At 45.2% G+C, this 27,397-nt stretch overlaps 1 long non-coding RNA gene across 3 annotated transcripts; it reads left to right on the top strand.

Moving 5' to 3' along the window:
* The first annotated feature begins 5,056 nt into the window (after positions 1–5,056).
* LOC105373530 (uncharacterized) lies at positions 5,057–14,634 on the top strand. Of its 3 annotated transcripts, none has more exons than XR_923142.3 (3): positions 5,057–5,151; positions 12,345–12,544; positions 13,738–14,634. It is a non-coding gene; the product is annotated as an uncharacterized LOC105373530 (long non-coding RNA). The 3 variants fall into 3 exon arrangements; XR_923143.3 differs by lacking the exon at positions 12,345–12,544 and having other exon boundaries at positions 13,738–14,007; positions 14,118–14,633; XR_001739627.2 differs by lacking the exon at positions 5,057–5,151 and adding an exon at positions 10,726–10,841.

Raw genomic sequence — 27,397 nt, 5'->3', positions numbered from 1 at the left:
GTGACATTAGATTCTCATAGGATCTCAAACCCTATTGTGAACTGCACACGCACAGGATCTAGGTTGCACGCTCCATCCCCCTCCCCCGTTTATGTAAAATTTGTCTTCCATGAAACTGGTCCTAGGTGCTAAAAAGGTTGGGGACTACTGGTTATATCAGGCGGGCCAGCAGTGGGCCCTGGGCGACCCAGGTCTACCCACTGTCCGGTTCCTGTAACAGCAGGAAGTGTTAGGGACAGCAGAGAGAGGGAAAGCAGGGAACCCCGAGCATCACTGGTCCATTTCTGAGTGACTCAGACTTGAGTACATTTCCCTGAAGGTCCTCCTTGGAGTTTGTCCTCCTCCATAAAGGTCTCAATGACTTCGATCAATCAGAAGGTGACTTGGGAAGCTGGGCCTGGAAAGCAGAGTTTATGTAAAAAAAAAAAAAAAAAGTGATGGAGGTTGGTAGTGATATTGTGAAAACAGACAACAGAAATAAGGACAGAGACCCACTGGTCTAGAAATGGCTAGAAAGAAAAAATCTTATTAGTGTTAACTTTGCTGATCCACTCTGGTGGACTATAAACTTTTCCATTCCATGAAATGCATTATTGAAGACTGACAGATGTTGACTAATCTGTCTCAAGCAATCTTAAAATACAGAAGTACAGGAATGTAGACTCAGCCTTTCTGTGTTTGTGCAGTCATGGGCCACATAACAATGTTTCAGTCAACAACAGACCCCATATGAAACGGTGGTCTCATAAGATTATAATGGATCTGAAAAATTTCTATCACCTAGTGGTGTCTAGCTGCTGGAACATGGTAGCACGAGGCACTACTCATGTAATTGTGGTGATGATGGTGTAAACGCACCTACTGCCTGCCAGTTGTATAAAAGTCTAACACATACAATTATGTATGGTACATAATACTTGATAATGATAATAAACAACTATGTTACTGGTTTATGTATTTACCATACTATACTTTTCTCATTATTTGAGAGTGTACTCCTTCTACTTAATCCAAAACAAGTTACGCGTAAAACAGCCTCAGGCAGGTCCTTCAGGAGGATTCTAGAAGAGGGCATTGCTATCATAGGAGACGACAGCTCCATGCGTGTTACTGTCCCTCAAGACCTTCCAGTGGGACAAGATGTGGAGGTGGACGACAGTGATATTGATGACCCTGACCCTGTGTAGGCCTAGGCTAATGTGTGTGTTTGTGTCTTAGTTTTTGACAAAAAAGTTTAAAACATTAAAAAAATTAGAAATAGGAAAAAGCTGATAGACTAAGACATAAAGAATATATTTATATAGCTGTACAATGTGTTTGTGTTTTAAGGTAAGTGTTATTACAAAGGAGTCAAGATGTTAAATTAAAAAGTTTACAAAGTAAAAATTTACAATAAGCTAAAGTTAATTTATTATTGAAGAAAAAAGTATTTAAAAATAAATTTTTAATAATTTTTATAGGCCAAGTGGACAGTGTTGATAAAGTCTATAGTAGTCTACAGTGATTTCCTAGGCCTTCACATTCACCCACTGGCTCACCCAAAGCAACTTCCAGTCCTGCAAGCTCCATTCATGGTAAGTGCCCTATACAGGTGGCAGGAGGTTATACATCTGCATTTGTGTGAGTGCACTGTATGATGTTTGCACAATGATGAAATCATGTAAGGACACATTTTTCAGAATGTATCCCTGTCGCTAAGCAACACATGGCTGTATTTAAATGTTCCTGAAGATAGTAGTCCTCTTCCCTTTAATTGCAATTGTCTTCTTTCCTTTCAATCAACTCTAGGTTTTCTACCTTCCCTGACAAGCTAGACTGTAAGCTCCTTGAAGGCAGGTATCTTCTTTGCCACATCTTCTCACTGGGGCACCTCAGGCTCCTGACATGAGTCTGGCACAGAAGAAGTGTTCAGTCAACATCTTGAAATGAATGAGGTATAGGAATATGCCCAGGAGTCACAACCATTGGCCCCCACTGAGAGAGAGACTTAAACAGGGATTGGTCCCCAATGAGAAAGAGACTTAAACAGGGATTGGTCCCCACTGAGAAAGAGACTTATCCTGCCAGCATCTTTCAAGTTTAGGGTGGGAAGTGGCAGCAACAACATGTCCCCTTGATGCAGGTGTTCTTTGTTTAGTGAGGAGGCACTTGCATGACTCATGCTATGTACTGAACTGAGTACCCCCTGCTCCCAAATCCATACATGGAAGCCCTAACCCCTAATGTGACTGTGTTTGGCAATAGGACCTAGAGGAGATAATTAAGGTTAAATAAACTTATAAGGATGGGGCTCTAATAAGACAGGATTTGTGTCACTTTAAGAGGTGACACTGGCCGGGCGTGGTGGCTCGTGCCTGTAATCCCAGCACTTTGAGAGGCCGAGGCGGGTGGATCACGAGGTCAGGAGATCAAGACCATCCTGGCTAATATGGTGAAATCCTGTCTCTACTAAAAATACAAAAAAAAAAAAAATTAGCCAGGCATGGTAGCGGGCACCTTTAGTCCCAGCTACTCAGGAGGCTGAGGCAAGGGAATGGTGTGAACCTGGGAGGTGGAGCTTGCAGTGAGTGGAGATCGCGCCACTGCACTCCAGCCTGGGCGACAGAGCAAGACTCTGTCTCAAAAAAAAAAATAAAATAAAGAGACACCAGGTGAGGAAAAGCAAAAATGTGGCTGTCTGCAAGCTGGGAAGAGGGCCCTCATCAGAAACCAAATCAGTTGGCACCTTGATCTTGGACTTCCCAGCCTTCAGAACTATAAGAAAGTAAATTTCGGTTGTTTCAGCCACCCAGCCTATGGTATCTGATAGTTCAAACAGACTCATGTTCATCTTAGTTATTCAAAATTTCTCATATTCAGGGTCCTGCTGATTGTATCCTCCTGGTGCCTTTTACTATGTTCCTCTTTCTCCTGTATTTCCAGGAACTTGGTAGTTAGAGCTCTACGCTTGGTTAGATTCTGGCTGATTTCTTCTGGCAAGTATTCTCATGGGTGGTGCTGGGCATTTCACACTGCATCTCATGAAGAGACACATGATGTCTGGTCACCCCTTGCTTGGTGACATTAGTTTGGCCCAGTGGGCTCAGATGCGGTTAGCCTGCTCCACCTAACAAGTTTCCCATTCATCCCTTGCTTAAGTATTCTAGCATCTGTTGTTGATTATTGTCTGGATCCACGATCTCATGAAGAATAATACCTTCTTCTAAACAGGCCTCATCCTGGGCCATGATCCCAAGTTTGTGGCCACCTGTGGGTGGGTTGGACAGGCAGGCAGCTATAGGACAAAACAAGAGAGGAGAACTCAACATCAGGGGCCTTCATGATTGACACTATTCCTTTCTAATTGTCAGTCACCCTATATTGCATGGAGGACCTAGAGGCTGGTGACTTTTGTAGGCACTGCCATTGTCAATGCATGGGGATACCTCAGTGTCCCCCTTAAGTTCATCTTCAGAGTAATTTTACCTGGTGACCAACTCCCTGCTCTACACCCCCATGCAGGCATTCTCAGCAGAAAGGCAGTTCTGGACATAGCACCTTGTCATAAAATCCAGATTTTATTGTTGTCCTTGCCATAGCAAGTGGTCCTAAATGAAAATTGTGAACTTATCTCTTATTGCTTTTCTCATCTGTCTTATCAGTATGGAATGTGTTAGTTAGGTTGGATTAGATGATGTATTTGTCCATTTGCCTTGCTAATAGGACACCTGAGGCTAGGTAATTTATAATGAAAAGAAGTTTAATTGGCTTACAGTTCTGCAGGCTGTACAAGCATGGCACTGGTATCTGTTTCTGGTGAGGACCTCAGGAAGTCTTTAATCATGGCAGAAGGCAAAGGGGGTGCCAGCGTGTCACATGGCAAGAGCAGGAGCAAGAGAGAGAAGTGGAAATGCCGCACACTTTTAAACAACCAGATCTCAAGTGGACTCATAGAGCAGGAACTCACTCATTACCTCAAGGATGACACCAAGCCATTCATGAGGGTTCGGGCCCCATGACTCAAACACCTCCCAATAGGCCCTTCCTCCGACACTGGGGATCACATTTCAACATGAGATTTGGAGGGGACAAATATCCAAACCATATTAGGTGATCATCTATCTGGTAAAAATTAAGACCCTAAATCCGAAAGGCTTAACACAACCTAAGTTTGCTTCTGTACTTGCAGTACATCTGACATGGGTTGACGGGGAGCCTTAATCCATGCAGTCACTCAGGGACCCTGTCACATCTGCCTTCAGGAAACTCTTCATGGAACAGGGAGCCTGGATTTCCCTGAACTTATACAAAGAGCTCACAGGACTCCTGTATTAGGTGGTTCTTGCATTGCTATAAGTCCCTGAGACTGGGTCATTTATAAAGAAAAGAGGTTTAATTGGCTTATGGTTCTGCAGGCTGTACAGGAAGCATGATGCTGGCATCTTCTCTGCTTCTGGGGAGGCCTCAGGAAACATACAGCCATGGTGGAAGGCAAAGAGGGTGCAGGTATGTCACATGATGAAAGCAGGAGCAAGAGAAAGAGAGTGTACGGGAGGTGCTACACACTTTAAAATGAGCAGATATCATGAGAATTCACTGTAACTAAGACAGCACCAAGCCATGAGGGATCCACCCCCATGATCAAAACACCTCCCACCAGGCCCCCACTCCAGCACTGGGGATTACAATTCAGTATGAGATTTGCGCAGGGACAAATATCCAAACTATTTCAACTCCTTTGGGCCTGCTTACGAATGAAAACCATTTCTGAAGTCAGCCTGATAACTGCTGTTGCTGTAACCTTGGGATGACCTCTAAGCCCCCTGCCTGTGTCCATTGAAACAATGGCTAGCATTGAAACACACTCTGAATGGGCAACTCGGCTGGGTCAGTTCTTCACAGGGGCTTGGCCCAGTGTCTGGCAGACAGGAGGCACTCAATAAATAGCAGTTGTTTTTATTTTATAAATGAGACACCTGAGGCTCAGAGGGTCAGGTAACTGACCTCAAGTTACCCATCAGTGAGTGGCAAAACTGGGAAAAACCCCAGCTCAGCTTGATCTGGAAACCTTGGCCTCATTTCACCCGGCACAGTGCCTCTGCAGAGACAGAGGGCTCCTTTGTGGAGCCCTCGAGTGCTAGACGGACCCACAAAATTACTCATCAGCTGCAGGTAAGTGGGAGCCATCAATAGCTGGGTGAGGGGTAACAAAAAAAGTGATAACTTAAGAAACCCCATCTGGTAGCACAGCACAGGGTAGATTTCAGCGAACAGAAGCTAGAGGCAGGGAGACCCACTAAGATTCCATTTAAATAGGAAGCTGGACTCAGGTTGGGGTGTTAGCCAGGGAAATGCCAGATGAGTTCTGAAGAGCTTGCAAAGGAAGCAGGAGCAGAATGTGGTGACTGGCCAGGGAATAAGGAAGAGACTGTAAGATGACGTAGAGCTTCTGTGGGGTCACGGGAAGATCATCCCAATATTGGCGAAAGGCACACTTGCTCCCAGGGTCTGGGAGTGACTTCTCAGCTAAGCTACCAGTTAGTTGGGTCACCCGGCCTTGAAGAAGTCTGGGCAGATCCCATTCATAAGTGTGACTCAATAAGAAAAATGGCTAGGTTAATGGGACAACAAGGTGGGGCTGTGAGCAGAAAGGTAGGTGTGTGTGTGAGTGTGTGTGTGTGTATGCGTGAGAAAGGCTATGTGAGTAGAGGTGTGCGTGTCTGTGCAAGTGTGTAAAAATGTGTTTATGAGTTAGTGTGTATGTGTTGAGTAGAGGTGTGTGTATATGTGTATGTGTGTTGGGTAGGGGTGTGTGCAGTAGGTGTCTGAGTGTATGGATGTATGTGTGTTGGTAGGGGTGTGAGTGTATGTGTGCTGGGTAGCGGTGTGTGTGTGTTGGGTAGGGGTGTGTGTATGGATGTGTGTTTGTGTTGGGTAGGGGTGTGTGTATGGATGTGTGTTTGTGTTGGGTAGGGGTGTGGGTGTGTGTGTGTTGGGTAGGGGTGTGGGTGTATGTGTGTGTGGTGAGTAGGAGTGTTTGTGTGTGAGTGTGTGTGTGTGTTGGGTAGGGGTGTGTGTATGGATGTTTGTTGGGTAGAGCTGGATTTATGTGGATATGTGTGTGTGTTGGGCAGGTGTGTGAGCGTATGAATGTGTGCATGCTGGGTAGGGGTGTGAGTGTATGGATGTGTGTGTTGAGTAGGGCTCTGTGTAGATGTATGCATGTTGGGTAGGTGTATATGTGGATGTGTGTGTGTTAGGTAGGGCTCTGTGTAGATGTGAGTGTGTGTTGGGTAGGTGTGTGAGTGTGTGGATGTGTGTGTGGTAGGTAAGGCTGTGCTTATGTGGATGTGTGTTGGGTAGGGGTGTGTGTGTACGGATGTATGTGTTTTGGGTGGCGGTGTGTGTGTGGATGTTTGTGTGTTGGGTAGGGCTGTGTTTATGTGGCCGTGTGTTGGGTAGGGGTGTGTGTGTATGGATGTGTGTGTGGTGGGTAGGGCTGTGTTTATGTGGGTGTGTGTTGGGTAGGGACATGTGTGTATGGGTGTTTGTGTGTTGGGTAGGAGTATGTATGGATGTATGTGTGTTAGGTAGGGGTGTGAGTGTGTGGATGTTTGTGTGTTGGGTAGGGCTGTGTTTATGTGGCTATGTGTTGGGTAGGGATGTGTGTGTATGGGTGTTTGTGTGTTGGGTAGGGCTGTGTTTATGTGGATGTGTGTTGGGTAGCGGTATATGTGTGTGGATGTTTGTGTTGGGTAGGGCTGTGCTTATGTGGATGTGTGTTGGGTAGGGGTGTGTGTTTATGGATGTTTGTGTGTTGGGTAGGGGTGTGAGTGTGTGGATGTTTATGTGTTGGGTAGGGCTGTGTTTATGTGGATGTGTGTTGGGTAGGGGTGTGTGTGTGTGGATGTGTGTGTGTAGTGGGTAGGAGTTTGTGTGTGTATGTGTGGTGGGTAGGAGTGTGTTTGTGACATATGTGTGAGTGTGTGTGCTGAGTGGAGCGTCCGAACAGAACACTTACAAGGAGCATGTGCATGATTACATCTGGAAGTGAATATTCAGAATGAAACCTCCCTTTCCATTCTTTGGTAGCTGAACTTCCCAAGAAAGGTATCCTGTAATAGAGCCCCTCAACTCTGAATATCCAGCTTTCTAATCAGCAAGAAAAATAAAATCCTGTCGTCTGCCTGGGGTCACAGGGATTTACTTTGCAAGTAGACACACACTCCTTTCCCCAGTCAACTAAAGATTTGAGGTGGCAAGGATAACAGGGTTGGGTTTCTCTACCTTGACTCTCTGGGATCTCACTGGGCATGTAGTGAGGTGGGAAAAGGTATGAAACCCACTTCAGGAGACCAGAAACTGGCAGTCGCACTACAGATGGAGTCCTCAGGGCAGACAGGGGAAGCTTTAGAAGTTATTTTGACAGGCTTGACGAATGCAAATTATATTAAGAGCTTAGCTATATGATAGGTTGGTCAGGGAGGGAGAATTTTTTGTTTTTTCAAGTACAAGGAACTCTAAGCTCAGAGGAACAGATGTGTAACTAAGAGTTACACTTAACCCATTTAGCAGTCATTTCCTGAGCACTTGTAAAGTGATTTGCTTTTAGGTTAGAAAGATGCTGTGTATTGATCTCAGGAAGAAAATCGGACTCAGGCTAGGTTCTAAGTTTATTCAGATAACTAAGAGATCCAGGGGCATTTTAAAACATCATGGTTGGCATGCTAATTACTTAAACAACTTTCTAATTGTCCTATTGTTTTTGAGCAGCCTTTCTAGCTTTTAACATTTCTTATCCAGCTGTATTATATTTAAAATGTTTTAAAGGTATTCTGTCTTTTCTCATAGTCTTAAAAGACTTCTTTGTTATTTCAAATGGAGTTTGGCAGAAAGATTTGTTTCCCTCTAGGCTGATTTCATTTATCTAAAGTTGGCCGAGAAAATCGTCCCCTTGCTGAAAGCACGCCTTCAACGGGTTAACCCTGAGGTTGACTTTTCAGTCATAAGGTTGCAGATTCTCCTTTGATCTCACTGCAAGCAGCAATTTTACCCAGCTTGGCAAGTCACAGGCCTGGGCGTCAGGAGGTCCAGAGCTCAGCTGCAATTTCTCTGCTAAGGATCCCTAGCAGACATGCCCTTGGGAGCCTTTCCTTAGTGCCAATGTTTCCGTGCTCTGTGTGGCAGGCAACAGGCAAGGCGACAGCCCTAGATTCATTTAGTTCAGCTGTGAAACTTCCAGAGTGCCCAAGTGATATAGGAGTTAATAAGAAAGTACTTAAGCAGATAGTGAGGGTACAGAAGTCCTCAGTAAGGTTTTCCTTTTAGTGAAAAGCAGCCCCCAAATCATTTTATTTTCTAACAAATAGCAGCCTGTAAAATCGAGCTGCAGACATAGACAAGCAAGCTAGAAGCTTGCATGGGTGAATGCTGGCAGTTGGGCCAATAGAAAAAGGCTACCTGTGCCTAGGCATGATCAAAATGGTGGCTCTACCTTCTCTTCTCTTTTCCAGCCATGTGTATAGTAAGGAGCAGACAAGATGGCACTGTCCAAGTGGCAGTTCCACTTACATAATAAGATTAGGGTGGGGCAACCAGCCTTCCCTCCCCAGGTAAACGTCACACCTGGTCAAACCAATCTGGGGGCCTTATGTAAATCAGACACCGCCTCCTCAAGCCTGCAGTCCACTGTGGGCTGGCTTTTCCCTTTCAGATACCTCTTTCTCACAAGAGAGAGCTGCTCTCTCTCTCTCCTTTCTTCTGCCTATTAAATGTTCTGCTCCTTAACCCACCCACATGTGTTCGTATCCTTAATCTTCTTGGCGTGAGACAACAAACCCCTGGTATTTACCCCAGACAATGATGCTGCTTCACAAACAGCACCTAGTGGAGTTCTTAGATCTTGCAATACCACCTTCTGACCCTGACACCTTTGGTTTTCTTAATGGAAAAGACCAGCTCCAGAAGTGGGGGCCCCAGGAGGTGAGACCCAGTAGCCTGATGATGATTTCTGTGCGGGGACATTAATGACTTTGTTGGATGAGCTGAAAATTTCTGAAATTTATCCAGGGGTCCCTACTTTCCCCTTAACTCCTGATTATGGATCTATCATTCGTGAGTTCATCTAGAGTTGTAAAACCGAAAGGGATCTAGGAGCACATCCAACTGGTCATATCGCTTATTGAAGACACGAAAGCTGTGGCCACCCAGAGGCAAAGACGCTGCCCCTTTTCTCTTTTCTGGCCCCTTACTGGTCTCAGGGTCTGCACCCAACCTGGAGTTACCAGCACTTTTCCACAACTTGAAACTGTCATCTCTTTGTGCTTCTGCCTCTTTGACCTGTTGGAATAAGAAAGCCTTGAGTTGTTCTACCAGCTTCTTAGAGTGTTAACTGTCTTGCCCAAAGCTGTGTTGCTGGAGGATCAAGAGCTTCTCCCTTTAGAATTCCCAGACTGGAGGGGCAGACATGATTGCCGGCCACCTCCATTGCAGAGAGTAAGCTTTACAAGGGAGGTTCTGGAGTCTGGGTGCTCCAGCTATTGTATCCTGAGTACCAAGCACATCACTTGGCACAAGGCGGTCTTTCAATTAGTGCAGTCTTCTAGAGTAAGGAACAAATGAAGTCCAATCACTCCCATTGGCATTCCTTCTCAGGAATATTTCCTAATCTTCTCAGAATGTCTCCAAGTCCAGGGAAGAAGAATGGTTGTTTTGTTGCCACCAAGTAAATCTGTCTGTCCTTTCTGCTCATTGTGCTGACCTCTGTCTCCAAAGAGAGAATAGGGCACCACTGGAAGCACAGAATTCAGTGCACTGGATCCACTCACGCTGAGTCCTGCCAAGGCTAATGCCTCAAGTCTTCCTTATTTCCCTTTGAGCAGGTCATTGTGTGTGGCCAATCCTTCCTTGTTCTTCTGCAGCTTTTGCACCCACGTGACCCTGGCCCCAGTGAAATGGGTCTTCTGGAGCTGTCTTGTACTGACTGCCCTGCGTGTGAGCAGGATCAGGCCTCCAAAACACATAATCTTGTTCTTGCAGCTTTGTTATTTTTTTTAAGGGTTGGTGAACTTGGCTTTGCTTTTCAGTGTCATTCCCATGGAACTTCAGAGAACAGAAGCTTTTTAAAGCACACACTTCCTGGCCAGGCGTGGTGGCTCACGCCTCTAATCCCAGCACTTTGGGAGGCTGAGGCGGTCGGATCACAAGGTCAGGAGATTGAGACCATCCTGGCTAACACGGTGAAACCCTGTCTCTACTAAAAATAGAAAAAAATTAGCCGGGCGTGGTGGTGGGCACCTGTAATCCCAGCTACTCAGGAGGCTGAGGCAGGAGAATGGCATAAACCTGGGAGGTGGAGCTTGCAGTGAGCTGAGATGGCACCACTGCACTCCAGCCTGGGCGACAGAGCGAGACTCCGTCTCAAAAGAAAAAACACATACTTCCTTTGGTGACATCAGTAGGTTGCCTAGGTCCATGAGGACAGCAGCCACCACTGGGGGGGACATCTGCCACCACCCGGAGCCCAACTCAAGCCCAATGGGCAATGGGAAGGAGGTGGGCAGAACCAGATGCTGGCCAGGTTGGCCATGTGGCCTTTTCCTTTTTCCTCTTTCAGAAGGAGAAAAACCAAGGTCCACTTTTTTTGCCACATACTCATGGGACAGAGGGGGTTTTTTCCTTTGGGAAGAAGTCTAAACAATGAAGTGGGGCGTGGGGCCAGCTTTATCACCTGAGGAAGTAACCAGGTTCTTTTTTCTCCCCTCCCTGCAATTTAGCAGATAGGTGGGTCTCTTGGCCTGTGGCTCCTTCTTTACCCAGCAAGTCTCCCTCCCCAGAGATGAGGATCCCTGTAATTACCTGAGGTGAGGTCCTAGCACGGGATCTTGGAAGCCTCCCTACACACCTACAGTTCTGCCTCAAGGTCACTTTGTGGATTCAGAGCCCTGAGATATATTCCTTGTATCAAATACATATTGAATTTCAAAGACTTACTAAAAAAAAAACCCTCAATAATAATTTTTATATTGAATATATGTTGAAATAAAAATTTGTAGTGTATCAAATTAAATGAAATATATTATTAAATTAATTTCAAATATTTCTTTTTACTTTTTCTTCCCCCCAAGACCGAGTCTTGCTCTGTCACCCAGGCTGGAATGCAGTGGGCCATCTCAGCTCACTGCAATCTCCACCTCCCGGGTTCAAGTGATTCTCATGCTTCAGGCTCCTGTGTAGCTGGGACTACAGGTGCACACCACCACACCTGGCTAATTTTTGTATTTTTAGTAGAGATGGGTTTTCACCATGTTTGCCAGGCTGGTCTTGAACTCCTGACCTCATGATCTGCCCACCTCGACCTCCCAAAGTGCTGGAATTACAGGCATGAGCCACCGTGCCTGGCCTCTTTTTACTTTTATTAGTAGGAAATTTAGAATTACATCTTGGCTTGCATTATTTTCTATTGAATCAGCACTGCTCTGGAAAGAGACCTAAGATCCCCTTTCACAGTTTTTCTTTTCTTTTTGTTTTTGAGACAGAGTTTCCCTCTGTTGCCCAGACTGGAGTGCAGTGGCGCGATCTTGGCTCACTGCAACCTCCACCTCCCAGGTTCAAGAGATTCTCATGCCTTAGCCTCCCGAGTAGCTGGGATTACAGGTGCATGCCACCACACCTGGCTAATTTTTGTATTTTTAGTAGAGACGGAGTTTCGCTATGTTGGCCAGGCTGGTCTCAAACTCCTGACCTCAAGTGCGCCACCCTCCTCAGCCTCCCAAAGTGCTGAGAGTATAGGCATCAGCCACCACACCTGACCCACACTTTTTCTTAATCCAATACGCTTGGGAGGACCCTAAAGAGAGTCCAGTATCTTCTTTTCTGGTCTCTCTACTCTCTACCCTCAGGCCCTCTTGGGTCTTCAGAGTCAGAGACCATGCAACTACCGTAGTCAAAATATGCCTCCCATAGTGGCCCCTCACAAACGGACTCCTGAAACTGCCTGGAGAGGTTCTGCATCATGGACCCCCTCCTCCCCAGACAGAGGCCCCACAGCAAGTTTTGTTTTCCAGGAGGGCATTCCTCAGTGTACTCTATGGTGTAAACTGCAAAATGGTGTTGGCCAGCTTGTAACACGCTGGGCTGACCCAAGTCAGATTTCTTTGTTGCAGGAATGCTCAGAGCATGTGTATATTAATAAATATTGTGACTCCCTGAGAGCAAAACACTTTGTATGACTTCTAAAGTTGTTGAGGACAAGCTCCTTCTGCCTTTTTTGAGCACCTGCAGCGAAGATACATTGAAAGCGACTCTTATTTTTGCACTTCTACTAAAGGTCCTCTCCCTCCTCTGCCCTGACCTTGTCCCTCAAGGTCCTCTCCCTCCCTTGTCCCCACACCACCTCCCAGGTCCTCTCCCTCTCTAGAAGAAATGGTCCAAGTTACAAGGCAGACACTACTGAAGCTCCAGAGAAGTCTCAGTAGCTTCTAGTTTCTGGCATTTTGGTCACTGGCATTTGGCAAAATGGCCCTTGATTTAACCATAAAAGAGGAATTTGCTGATACTCAACCAGGTGAGACTATTTTTCTCTGCCTAGTTTTGATATTCTGCCCTCCAGACTGCAGAAGAACTTAATTGCCCTCTGATTTATATGATCATAGAAGATCTCAAAATACACACACACACACACACACACACACACACACACACACACACACACACATATATATATATATATATAATGTATGTACTGAGAGTAAGAGAGAGAGCCTTATATCAATGCCTAATTCATTTAACTCTGGGGAACAAATATAATCAATTTCCAACAGACAGCTCTAAGATTTGTGAAGTGTTGGATGAAGGACCTTATTCAATAATCATTTATATTGTTTTATATCCAAGCTTCAAACCTCCAAGAAGGTGGGGGTTCTGGAAGAAAGGCTGCCTTTGGCCAGGCTGCAGGAAGCTGCCAGGAAGCTGGGGCTGAGGCATGGCTGGAAGAGGGCCAGAAAACTCATTTGCTCCACTCCATCTTGCTAACATTGGCTGCTGTTATGTTTCATTATAGCCCCACATCCTGCTCATCTCTGCACCTTTGAGATGCCTCCCACATCCTCGATTCAGGTCACACTGAGGCTTACTGCTTCTGCAACCAGCTTCTATCACCAGCTTCCCACACCTGGCCCACCTTTTGAAAACAAAACAGGTCGGGAGCAGTGGCTCACACCAGTAACCCCAGCATTTTGGGAGGCCAAGGCAGGAGGATCGCTTGAGCCCAGGAGTTGGAGACCAGACTGGGCAATATAGCAAGACCCTCTCTCTACATAAAATTTTAAAAACTAGCTGGGCATGGTGACATGTGCCTATAGTCCCAGCTACTTGGGAAGCCGAGGTAGGAAGATCACTTGAGTCCAGGAGATTGAGGCTGCAGTGAGCCATGATGGCACCACTGCACTCCAGCCTGGGCAAAAGAGGGAGACCCTGTTTCGAAACAAAAACAAAAACACAAAGAGATTTCACCTATAGGAGGTAGGTCTTGACATCTCGGGCATATTCTTCCTCTATGCTCAGCCTTTTGGTTCCATCCTCACTTAACCATCATTTATTACACAGAGCAGCCTCACTGTGTGGCAATGTCTGCTTCTACTGGGTCTGCACATGTAAAGGAAATCAGTGGGCTTAGAATTTAAAAATAAAAAGCTCTGGCCTCATTTGGTTGAATTAATTATGCCTTTTCATTTGTTTGAATCTTCATGACAACTAAAGTCCGCCCCGACTAGTTGTGGACGATGTCTGCCAGCTGCCTACAGAATCCACCCTTTTCCTTTGGAATTCCCTCCTTCTCCTGACGCTGACAATACCCTTGCCCTTCAGAGGACCTGCCTTCCCACTCTCCATTGGACACTGTGGAACTTCTTGGCGTCCAGTCCCAAGGGCACAGCCACCGCAGGACTTCACGTCTGCCTGCCTGAGCAGGGCTGGTGTCTTATGAATGGCAGCTGAGACCCAGTTCAGGCTCACGACCTCATATCACAGGTCAGAAAACAAAAGAACAATTGAGTTCTTATGAAAACTTGCCAGATTTCCATACAAAAGTTTCCTTCTTGAAATCCCTTTTTTTTTTTTTTTTTTACTTTTCATCATAGAAATGAACTCAAAGGAAAATGACTAATCACCGACCTACTCAGAATCATTGGTCCCCGGCAAGCAAGGGTGATCCTGCATCAATCTATTAATTTTCATTTCCAGGGTTCTCAGATGTAAAACAAATGTTTGATGTAATCCGCAACACTGCTCTGTTATAATTAAACAACCTCCTACTGCCTAAATTGGCAAAGCACTCCATCGATCAGTGATAAATGTGGTCCTTGGGAGACTGCTTTTATGTTTGTTTCACTCATGGGAAAATGGCCACAACCCTTTTGTAAGATTCCTCGGCTGCTGCTCTCCCCAGGTTACAATCATAGTAACTGCTGCTTCTGGGATGCCTCGCTGTAATCCTCATGTTCAATGATGGCTCAATGGATATGTGCTTGAAGGAGAGTGAGTGATGGGGAGTCTACAGTTATGAATAAAATATATTCAAGTCAATAAACCCTTCCTGGGTTCCTTTGCCTCACCATTTTATGCACAATTTATGAAGCACCCTACACATACCAGGAGCTATTTGCAATGTTTAAGATGTGGGAGCCCCCATAATTCTAAATATGTCATGTATCATCTACTTTCCTCTTTGCAAAGTGGAGGGGTTGGATTCCTGCCAGGCCTGATAATATAGATCTGCTGTTCACACATAGCATATAGGAGGCCCTGATGACTTCCTACTCATCGCTTCCCTCATTGTCCAATTGTTGGGGCCATTGGGCTGCTGTATTCAGGCCAGCCCTTGCCCTAGATCCTAGGATCCAGCCAGACTTGAGGCAAGGAGACACACTGCTGTCAGTGTTCCATCACCCCTATGGTTAGGCCTCACTGGCTCTGCCACAGTTCAGACACCAAGGCTCCTGCCTTAGTTTTCTAAGAGATGTTCCCTACATTGCACCTGAATTCATCCAGTTCATTTTCACAGAATATACTTGACCTAGTTTAAGCAGAAAGGGATGTATCACAGGCTACTAAATGGCTTATGAAATCCTTGGAAAAGCTGAATAAATAGACCTTAGGGGGAGCCCCTAGAGCTACTCTCAAAGCTATCTAGCAGAACCTGGCCACATTTCCAACCAGGAAGCTGCCTGCAGAATCAGCAAACAGCCCCCACATCCGCTGGCTTCAGAACCACCCACCTCTGCTCTCCCCACACAAGTGAGCAGACATCTCAGCCCTGCCTTTCTGGCCACCTGACTGCTTGCAAATTAAATCTCTCCCATTTGCACCAGGAAGAGGGCCCTAGATGATGTCTAGAACTTTAGTTTCTGATGACTCTAAGGAATGAGATTTTTCACCTGCTCAGCCTCTGCAGTCTGGGAAAAACCAGAAGTGTGTTGGAAGTGACACTGAATGATCTGGCCCTCAGATTTGTCAGTTTCCCAAGCAGCAACTTGGCCCTTGCATATATTGATTTTTAAATTTCTGTAGTTTGCTCAATCACCCAGGGCTCTGGGAGCCCATTTCTATTGGCTGGAAACCCACTGGGAACCAGCTACCTGCTGACAAATTCCAATCCTATTACTATTTTGTATTGAATATTTACTCTGCACAGTTCCTAATTTTCTGCGAAATGCCTTTTCTCTTTACCACCCTTTGACACAGTTACTGCTCTGTAAACTGAAACACCACTTCTTATGGCCGCAGTTGTTTGTGCTACGAATAAGTAACTCCCTAAGCTCAGCCCATCAGATTTTCTCTCGAATCTGTGGGCTGGAAATCAAGATGGTTGAGAACAGCTCTTCTCCTAGTGGCGGAAGTGGTAAAAATAATCTCAGTGTGGGTGTGGTGGCTCACACCTGTAATCTCAGCACTTTGGGAGGCTGAGGTAGGGGGACCACTTTAGGCCTGGAGTTTGAGACCAGCCTGGGCAACACAGCAAGAACCCATCTCTACAAATAAAAAATTTGTTGGGCATGGTGGCATGTGCCTGTGGTCCCAGGTACTTGAGAGGATGAGGCAGGTGGATTGCTTGAGTCCAGGAGTTCAAGGCTACAGTGAGCTGTGATCACACCACTGCACTCCAGTCTGGGCAACAGAGTGAGATGCTGTTTCTAAAAAAAATAAAATAAAATATGTACAATTTTTTAAAAAGAATCTCAGGAGCTCTCAGGCGTAGATCTCTCAGGCGTCCAGCTCTCAGGATGCCTGGTCCTGTAAGGGCCTCCAAGAGTGGCTGGAGAGCGGGGCGTGATGCCTCTTGGGCCACCTTGCAAAGAGCTCACAAGTTCTGCCAGTGAAGATAGAACCATCTATCATGAGAGTAAAGAATCAGTGGATGAGAAGATGGAAATAAAGCCATGAATTGGAGAGGGTGTCCCAAGGCCATTTCCATCTCTGGTTTCAGCTTCTCCTGCATCCTTGCCGCATTCTAGTTTCAGGGCTCCATGAGGTATCTCCATGTCCTTGTTATGTTCCCATTTCTCTTATTTTGCTTTAGTTTGAGTTGGCCTCCTCTCACATGAAACAGGGAGTCCACAATACCATTGACCCTTGAACTACACGAGTTTGAATAGCATGGGTCCACTTATATATGGATTTTCTTTTACCTCTGCCACCCCTGAGACAGCAAGACCTATCCCTCCTTCCTCTTTCCCTCAGTGTACTCAACATGAAGATGATGAGGATGAAGACCTTCGTGATGATGCACTTCTATTTAAGGAATAGTAACTATATTTTCACTTTCTTATAATTTTCTTAATAACATTTTCTATTCTCCAGCTTACTTTATTGTAAGAATATAGTACATAATACATATAACATACAAAATATGGGTAATGCACTGTTTATGTTATTGGTAAAGTGTACAGAGCACCTGTGACATAAGTAAGTCCATCTTAGAAAAAGACTCCATCTTACATTTCAAAAGGCATCATGACAACAGGACCAGATGTTCCCCTAATCAATAGAGACAGCACCTGACTGTCTCTATGGCCAGAGCATAGCCAGACACACTCTTTATTATCAATCAGTCCTCGCCAGAGGACTCAAGGGCTACAAAACAGCAGGAGTCCACCAGCTGGACACCGCTGTTTTATGAAATACCATCCTGCTATCACTCGTGATCAGCATCTGGCATCTGTCACTGAGGGCTCTGTCCAAATCGAGGGCTCTCCCTTACAAGACGCTGCTGTGCACCTAGATCTGCCCAGGACCCTCTCCTTGTCCATGTCACTGTCCTTGGACTGATTAATTAACCGCTTTCCTATCCCCTTTTCTCTTGATGTTAAATGTTGCTCTGTTTGATGTGGAATGTTTAATCTATAACGTGTATATATTGATTAAGTATCCTACTAGGTATGGTTTGCGATATCAACTGACCTGTGGAGTGGCTTGAGCCTGTGAGCCTGTAGCCCTGACTCCTGAGGGAACGAAGTGGTACGGAGAATTGCCTCCTTGGGAACTCCATGCAGCCTGTGGCTTTTATGACTGAAATAGCATCAATAAAGGCCTGACCTTGGGGAAAGACACAAATGGGCATGGACCTGATTATGTCTGACCTTGTGTCTCTCCCAACAGTAAGGCTTCCAGTAAACACTAGGCTGTTAGTAGTTATGTTTTGGGGGAGTGAAAAGTTTTACTGGGATTTTCAACTGTGCAAGGGGTGAGTGCTCTTAACCTGCATGTTGTTTGAGGGTTAACCACAATGCATAGGTATTGAGTGATTTGAGGAGGACTCTTGGACCATTCTCACTGGCCTCCACATGGATGATTTCTCCTAATTTAAACACAGGCAAACTTCTCCCAACCTTGCTGATTCTTACAGCTCTTGCACTTTGCAGCACAACCTCAGTAGAAGCTCCTGTACTTCTGGCTCCAGTTTCTCTCCTCCCGCAGTCTCCTTAGCAGATTCCAATCAGGTTTCCCCTCCGCTCACCACCAACCTGCGTGTTGCTGAATTCAGTGGTCACTGCTCAGCCTCACTGTGGCTCGCCCTGCATCCCTGAAAGGTTTCCTTCATCTGCCTTCAGCTGGCCTCCCTTCCACTCCACCAGTGGCCCTTCCCAGTCTTTGCAATTGCTCCCTTACAGCCCTGATGTCTTAATATCCATGCTGGTTCTTGGCCTCTTTGCTTCCCTTCTCCACTTTGCCCTTTGTGGGCTCCCGTCCTGTGGCAGGCTCTGCAGGCTGTTTCCCACGCCCCAGGCAGCGGCTCCTGGCCACTGGGAGGGTCTAGTGGGAGGCTGAGGAGAGCCTTGGGCAGCATCTCCAGCAGCAGCGGCAGCTGTTCCTTTTGTTTCCATCTCCTGGAGTCCGCATGGACTTTAGTTTCTGCCGGGTGAGCCCAGCTCCCAGGTTCTGGTAGCACCATCTCCTCTTTATTCCCAGACCTCATGATTCTCTATGGAGAAAATCTGATGGAGTCTGCAGAAAAGCTATTAGAATTAATGAGCTTAGTAAGGAGATTGCAAATACATCTTGCTAAAATCTCTCAAATCAAATTTTAAAATAAGGATCCTCATTAATGACTTTTCCTATAATACACTGAGTTAGGGAAATAACACTGAAATCTCAAGAGTGAATGAACTAATTTTTTTATTACCATGTATTATCTTTTGAGACAATATGGTCATAGATTGAGAAACTGAGTGCAATAGGCCATCTAGTTGCCTCAGTCAAATCTGATTTAGCTCTACTGAAAGTTCTTTTTTTTTTTTTTTTTTTTTTTTTTTTAGATGGAGTTTCACTCTTTTCACCCAGGCTGGAGTACAATGGTGCGATCTCAGCTCACTGCAACCTCTGCCTCCCAGGTTCAAGCAATTCTCCTGCTTCAGCCTCCCAAGTAGCTGGGATTACAGGCCCCAGCCACCATGCCTGGCTAATTTTTGTGTTTTTAGTAGAGACAGGGTTTCACCATATTGGCCAGTCTGGTCTCGAACTTCTGACCTCAGGTGATCCACCTGCTTCGGCCTTCCAAAGTGCTGGGATTACAGGCATGAGTCACCACGCCCAGCCTGAAAGTTCATTTTCATACAGACAAGAACACTATTCTGATGCCAATGAGCTTTCAGGTTAGGAGTCTTTAAAATACTTTTCTGACACAAAAATGAGCATGCTGTTGTTTCTTATTTGATGTTTCCTCTTTAGGATGCCTCTCAGTTTCTGCACAGGAATTGTCTACAGCAGTAGTTTGCAAAGTTTGATTTCTATTAGAAATGAAATTTTTAGGTCTCCACCCAGACCTCCTGAGTCAGAAACTGTGGGGGTGGCCTCCAGCATTCTTTATTTAATACTCTTTTGAGGGGCTTCTGATGCCTGCTAAGCCAGAACCACCAGTCTATACAAGCTTGGGGTATGGGAAAAAAATTCACTTACGAGGTCACTTTTACTGTCTGAACTAAAGTGAATTCCCTGAAATAAAATTGGCAAAATGTTCCCTACTTTTCAAAGTTTTGTTCTGTCTTCAGTTTTCTTTCTTTTTTTTTTCTTTCCTTTCTTTCTTTTTTTTTTTTTTTTTTTTGCCAGGCAACTTTTTGGGGAAGCACACTAAGCTTTAGATACACTATTCATTTCCAGTAATCAGGAGAGAGTCATCAAAAGTAGAGAGAATAAATGCATTTTTATATGTTAACACAATAGATTTACTATTCAGTTACAAAAATGATGTAGACACACACAGAGAGACACATACACACACACACATACACACAGACAGGCACAAACCCAGAGGGTTTTTATTAATAGAATGTGGAGGGAAAGAAACATATGCAAAATAACACAGTATGGTTCCATTTATATATTATTTAAAAATAGACTCAGCTGAACTACACTGCATACACAGGTGATAAATCTATTAGAGTCAAGAGCAGTATTTTATTTTTAAAAATAATTTCGACTTTTATTTTCGATTCAGGGAATACATGTGCAGGTTTTTTACATGGGGTTATTGTGTGACACTGCGGTTTTGAGTACAAATGATGCTGACACCCATGTAGTGAGCGCAGTACCCCATTGGTAGTTTTTCAGCCCTTGCGTCCTTTTTTCTCTCTTGCCTCTAGTAGTTCTCAGTATCTATTGTTCCCATCTTTATGTCCATGTGTACCCAAAGTTTAGCTCCCACTTTATAACTGAGAACATACAGTATTTGGTTTGCTGTTCCTAAATTAATTTGCTTAGAATAATGGCCTCTAGCTACATCTTTGTTGCTGCAAATGACATGCCTTCACTCTTTTTTATGGTTGCATAGTATTCCATTGTACTAATCCATTCTCATGCTGCTATAAAGAACAGGCCAAGACTGGGTAATTTACAAAGGAAAGATGTTTAATTGACTCACTATTCCACATGGCTGGGGAGGCCTCAGGAAACTTACAATCGTGGTGGAAGGGGAAGAAAATATGTCCTTCCTCACAGAGCGGCAGGAAGGAGAAGTGCAGAGCAAAAGGGGGAAAAGTCCTTAAAAAACTATCATATCTTGTGAGAACTCACTCACTATCATGAGAAAAGCATGCAGGAACCCCCACTGCCAAGATCTAATCACCTCCCATGAGGTCCCTCCTTCAACACACAATTCAGATTACAATTCAAGATAAGATTTGGTTGGGGACACAGACCATGTCATACATGATGTATATGTAACACATTTTCTTTATGCAATCCACCATTGATGGGCACCTAGATTGATTCCATGTCCTCGTTATTGTGAATAGTGCTGCAATGAACATACGCATGTATATGTCTTTCTGGTAGAACAATTTGTTTTCCTTTGGGTTATACACCAGTAATGGTGGTTTTGATTTGCATTTCTCTGATGATTAGTGATGTTGAGACTTTTTTCATGTTTGTTGGCTGCTTGTACATTTTCTTTTGAGAAGTGTCTGTTCATGTCTGTTGCCCACTTTTTAAATTTGTTTTTTGCTTGTCAAATTGTTTAAGTTCCTTATAGATTCTGGATATTAGACCTTTCTTGGATGCATAGTTTGTGAATATTTTCTCCCATTTTGTAGGTTGTCTGTTTAGAGTATGATTATTTTAAAGTCAGAATAGTGGTTACATCTGGAGGGAAGGATGGTTCTTGGGTGGGGAAGAAATTTATGGGCAAGGGGCTCTGGAAACTTAATAATGCTCTATTTGTTGACCTGGGTGGCCATTATGTGGGTGTTTGAGTTATATGTCAAACTGTGCATTTAATTTTTTACTACTTTGTAGGTATATTTCACAATCCAAAACTGTCTTTAAAAGAAAGAAAGCCAGATGCTGTGGCTCAGGCACATACCAGCACTTTGGGAGGCCAAAGCAGGTGGATTGCTTGCACCCAGGAGTTTGAGACCAGCCTGGGCAATAGAGTGAGACCCTGTCTCTACAAAAACTACAAAAATTAGCCATGAGTGGTGGCAAACTGCCTGTAGTCCCAGCTACTTGGGAGGCTGAGGTGGGAGGATCACTTGAGTCCAGGAGGTAGAGGCTGCAGTGAGCCATGATCACACCACTGCACCCCAGCTTGGGTGACAGAGCAAGACCCTGTCTCAAAAAACAAAACAAAACAAGAACCAAAAACAAAGAAAAAACAGGGTTAGGGATCACCCACTCTAGGCTAAGTAGTCTGCCTCTTTCTCGCCAATTCGTAATGCCAACACTTTCCCTTTCTTTAGAGACCACCACTTTCAGCACTTGTAGTCACTTCCAGACCAAATGCCCTAAGGATACAATTAGACTGACCTTTCTCAGGTTTTAATTGACTTTCCATGATAACAGACGAGGATTTCACTTTTGGCCCTTCCCTTGTGTGCCCTTCCTCTATCTCCCAGGACTTTTGATAATTTTCTTTCCACCATTTTCTTCCCTGTTTTGGGGGATGGGAATTCCTAATGGTTTGATTTTTAGTGCATCTCCTATCATTTTGTTATCTTTTCTCTCCATTATAGAAGATGACCTTAAAATTATGCCCAATTATTCTAATAAATCTATTAATAGACTCATCTTGTTTTTAATATCCAACAGATCTTTTTTGTTTTCTAGCTGTTCTTGTCTGATAGCACCTAGTTCTTTTTGCAGATACACTATATTCTAAGAAGAGTATTGCACAGCGTTACAAAGATATGGAGGTACCCTGCTGGGGGAACCTGGGAATTCAGGCAAGTGAACAGCCCAGACCAGCACTATCCCATAGAATTATAATCTGACTCAATTATGTCACTCTAAATTTTCTGATAGACCCACTGGAAAAAGTGAAATGGAAGAGGTTGAAATTAATTTTAATAAAAATGTTTTCATCCAATATATCCAATATAATATCATTTCAACATGTAATCAATATAAAAACTTGTTAATGAGATATTTTACATTTTTAATTTTATTAACAATTTGGTATAGGTTTTACACTTAAGCATATCTTTATTTGAACATGTCACATTTCAAATGCTCAGTAGCTATGTGTGACTCATGTTGTATAGTTTGAGTCTGCAGAGAGCTGCACCAGCCATGCCTGCAAACTAAGTTCAAATCTGCTCTGAGATCCCCAAGAATGTACTTTCTGGCCTGGTTCCCATCTTCTTGCAAGTTGCTTCTGGAACTTTCCCCCAAAAGCCTGCCTCCTGGTGGTAGGGCCTGGTACCTTACTCCATCTCAGGTCCCCAGCCAGCACCCATCCCTCCTCTGCATAATTTCCCCTCTTGGACATCATCTGTGTTATTGCATTTGCTCCTGGTCTCAACCCTTTCAAACTTCTGGTTCCTCCAGGGATCACTTCAGGGGACCTAGTTCTGTGAGCAGCATTCTTGGGCTCCACTTAATACCCCCAGGCTGCTGCCCAGCTGCCCAGCCTCTTAATCTGGCTAGAAATGCTGTGGCTGAAGGTTTCATGAATGGCTGAAAGGAGCTCATCCCTGTTACACAGTGTCTGGCCAGCAGCCAGTTTATCCCCAACCTCAGACTCCAGGTAGGGTGTGGGCTCCTGCTCCACTCACAGCTGCTGAAGAACTGGTGTGGCTTGGGGCTACTGTGTCTAGGGCCTGGCCTCTGGGCCTTTGCATAGGTAGAGAGAAGACAAGGCCAGGAGAAATGCAGCAGGGGACAGTAGGAGGAGGCAGAAGAGATGTCCCCAACCCCTTGGGGGTGGAAGGCCTGGAATGAGGAGGCCCAGTCTCTACCCTCTGGGATCCCTGAAGGCCAGACCAGGCAGGTGTGCCTGGTGAGTCAGCCCTGGGCCCCTGCCATCCTCCCTCTACTTACAGCTCACACAATAGCTCAATTGTGTCATTGCACTTAGCTTTGGCTTGGGTTCCAACCCAAGGACGTAGCCCAGGGACCTCTAGGGACAGAGAGAAACAGCTATGAGAGAGGTCTTTGTGCAAATCTATTCTGCAGAAAGGAGGCCCAGGGTTATGGTCAGAGTGGCTGTGGCTGACAGCACAGCATAAGAAGAGCCGGTCTCAGCCACTGGCTTGCACTGATGGCCAGTGTGTGTCGGAAAGTGACAGGAGGAAGTTTATCAAATAGGTGCACAATTGCTGTGCATTTTAAGTGGAGGTTCACACAAAGGACTCTGAGAATCTGAACTCCAGGAGAAGTTAGCAAAGTCTCAAGATATTGCAATAATATTTAACCAGATGAATAATTTCAATGTACTGTATTTATCTTTTTGTCTGTTGTCATCACATGCAGAAACCTATTTAAGACTGTTTGAAAATAAAAAAGAAGGGTTGTTTAGGTCAGCTGAGAGTCTTCTGGGGCCAACAGCTCAGCCTTCCCTGAAGAAAAGCTTAAACGCATTTTTGCAGGAGGTGAAATTTCTGAACGGCTATGACTTATGTTAATCTACTACGGGTGTGCTATCGCTACCGCATGTTTTGGCACAGGCCATAGCGAGGCACTAATGTCCAGACAGAGATGAGGGTCCTAAGAATTGCACAGCCAACCCTTTTGTCCAAAGTGTCAAACATGGATGTTGCAAGGGGTGCTTTCCAGGTCTTAGCATCTTGTATTCTAAAGGAAATAGGTAGCAGAAGGGTTTTTTAACTGAACGTTGTATTAAGATCTTAAAAGTATAGCTTCCATGGTCCCAGGTTTGTCCAGCCTGTGGACTCCATGTTGTGACATTATCAAGGATAACTCTGGTTTTTCTAGCTTTATCCCATTCATTAATGCCAGGTCTCCAGTTTCACTCAAAGTCTTGCCCAGTCATTTCCAGAGACATTGGGTGCATCTGTGTGGATCCCTTGCATTCTTCCAGGGAGGCCTTTCTTGCCTGTGCCCACTACTCCGGCCCCGTTGTGTGTATAGGGATGCCATTTTCTTCAGCATGTGCGTCCCCCAGTGAGCTCAGATGGGAACCCATGGTGTGAGGGTGGGGACCGTTCTCAGGCAGATATGATGCTCTCCTTTTCCTTTTCTCCTCCCCCACCCCCACTCCTTCCTTCTCGTTCTGTCAGGAGCCCTCATACAAACCCATTTCTGCCTCACCTCCAATTACACTTTCACAGACAAGTCTGAACCTAAGTATCTTAAATAAGGAGGCTCCACTACTAGTGGATTTATTTGAGGACTAAACTCCGGGGGAAACTCTCAGGGTGTAACAGGATGTAAACTGGGACTCTGTATCTTTCACTTTTGGCAGGAGCCCCCAGGGCTGAGGACAACGTGGTGGGCTCATCTCTCAAGGCAGAACGATGGGTGCTGTGCCCTAAAGCAGAGTGCATGGAGACTATGGAGCCAGTCCTGCCAGTGTCACCCAGCAAGGCCTCAGAGCAGGTTCTGGTGGAAGAGATTGGCGGTGGGGAGTATGTGTGGGTTGCCCATACCCCACAGAGAGGAAGTACTTCCCCTTCCCTCAAGACAAGTGATTTGGACTTCATGAGAGCTGGATATCCTGTTGCCTAGAGTTTGGGATGAAGAGAAACTTTTGTTTCCCACCTACTAAGCCTAAGGGCTACAGCAGCTCTTCGGTAGGAGCAGAATGAAGAAAACAGGCTAGGTTGGAAATAGTGGGTTCCCAGCTGGGTTGAGAACAGTGCACGTGCACTTGCATGGAGGGTGATGCGTTCTGGAGAGCAGTCAGGGACCCTGCAGAGAGGACCTGGCCTGGGGTCATCATAAGGGGGATCCCACCAAGGAGGACTGTCTGGGACAGAGGAAGCCTCCAGCAGAAGCTCACAGGCCATGGGAAGAGTCAGACAGAGCCACACAGAGGACAGACGTGATCCACATGTCGCAGCAGGGGGATTCCAAGCATTGGCCAATGTGCTTTGTGGGAGGAACAGCCAGCAATTGCACATCTATCCACATCCTCATTACAAAAGAACCAGTCAGGAAAGGCATTTCCTCCACACACTGCGCCTTTCTGCCCCTTTCCAGCCCATTGCAGTGAGAGGGAGGTGGGGAGGCAGGTGAGGAGCAGGGAAGGAGCTGCCATGCTGTCGCAGGTTTCCAGCCAGCACAGGCCTAAGATGGGGTCACTTTCAGCTGGACAAGATTTTGGAATCCTGTTGTATGGGAATTTTCAATTATTGAAACAAGACTGGTTTTGTGCTTGAAGGGGCCAAAAACATTGGGAGACTTGCTCAAGATTTCATGCACAGGCAGGAAAGAAGGAAAGAGTTTAAAGGAGCCGTGGGAGAATCAATCATTCTCTGCTTGCCCCTAATGAAGCCAGCTGCAGAGAGCACTGGTAAACACAGTCACTCACAGTTAATCTAGGTAGAGGAATTTAAAATACTACCTAGGCACAAATCTAAAGTGCTTCTGCTGTGAGAAGCCAATGTCAGATCACTGAGGTCTCCACTCACTCAACATCTGGATATTGAGGACCATGAGTGCTATTAGCGCCCTAAAGGCTGTGTTTAGGACACCATGTTTTACTAAAACTCTTATCTCTAAGCATCAAGATCCCACCCGGTGTGGCAAACATCTGAGACCCAGTAAGAGAAGAGTGGGCTTCCATTTCCTCCCTCACACTCACCTGGAGGCAAATTCCATGCCCGCAGCAGAGGAGCAGTGGAGTCACCTCCACTACAGGATTTCAATGTCATTTCTCTCATTCTCCTTCCTTCCCCAGCTCTCTCTGCCTGCATACTTGAATTTACATGGGCAGTGTCGAAGGAAAATAAAATCTTGGGATCCCAATTAACGATGCCAAAAGGAAAAAACTAAGCTGAAAGTGGAGTAATGCAAGACCTTTCCTTTTGTTCCTAAGCAGATAGCTACAGATAAAAAGTAGCTTCCCAGGTAGCTACTCTATGTTCATCTTATCCTTACATAAAGTGCCAATTTACTGAGCATGAGAGGAATATCTAATTGACTATTCCCCTACCTGCTCCTTTTCTCTTTTTTCCTTTTCTTTTTTTGAGACGGAGTCTCGCTCTGTCACTCAGGCTGGAGTGCAATGGCACAATCTCGGCTCATTGCAAACTCCACCTCCCAGGGTCAAGTGATTCTCTTGCCTCAGCCTCCAGAGTAGCTGGGATAACAGGCACCCACCACCATGCCTGGCCAATTTTTGTATTTTCAGTAGAGACAGGGTTTCACCATGTTGGCCAGGCTGGTCTTGAACTCCTGACCTCAAGCAATCCACCCGCCTAGGCTTCTTAAAGTGCTGGGATTACAGGCATGAGCCACCTTACCTGGCCCCTTTTCTCTTGCAACCCATGGATTCAATAACGTGACCATACCCTCCCTCTCTCCCCTCCAGCCCACTTTCCCCCTTTAAATATTGAAGCCCCCAAAATCATCTTTGGAAAAAGACATGGACCACAGACTGTTCCTGTGGCTTTGTGTTCCTTTTTCCTGGGCATGTCCTTATCCTCGGCAAAATAAACTTTTAAATTGTTTGAGACCTGTCTCAGGTACTTTTTGGTTTATAGTAGCAACATGTATGCATAATGCAAATGTACTTGTATTTCATTATACATTTATTTGTTCTTATTACACAGGTAAGCCATTTTTATTGTGAGAAGACTCAGAAGATTCAAATACATTTGAAGGGGAAAAACACTCTCATCTTCCTTATCTCCCAACCTTAGTTTATAGGTGCTTCTATGTCTTTAATTAACTGGCCTATTTCTAGATCTATCTGTTTTGGACATGAGATTTCTGCTAAGATGGGTGAGGATTTCATTTATTTACACCACATTTCACCTCCCCTTTCCCACCCTTTCAGTTTCTCACATCACTCTTTTCTTTCTCTATAGGTTACCTTGCTAACTCTAGGCAACTTACTTAGACTTTTAGCCACTGTTTATCAACTACGGAAAGGCTCTCTTGGGCTTTTCTTCAGCAGTCTTCCCCTTTTCACTGACTAACTTTTCATCTGTAGTTTCTCTTCTGCATTGTTAAGGTCAAGAACATT

Source organism: Homo sapiens, chromosome 2 (assembly GCF_000001405.40).
Source record: "Homo sapiens chromosome 2, GRCh38.p14 Primary Assembly".
NCBI lineage: Eukaryota > Metazoa > Chordata > Mammalia > Primates > Hominidae > Homo > Homo sapiens.
The sequence above is the reverse complement of the archived record's forward strand: the minus strand, read 5'-3'. Positions and strand labels throughout refer to the sequence as shown.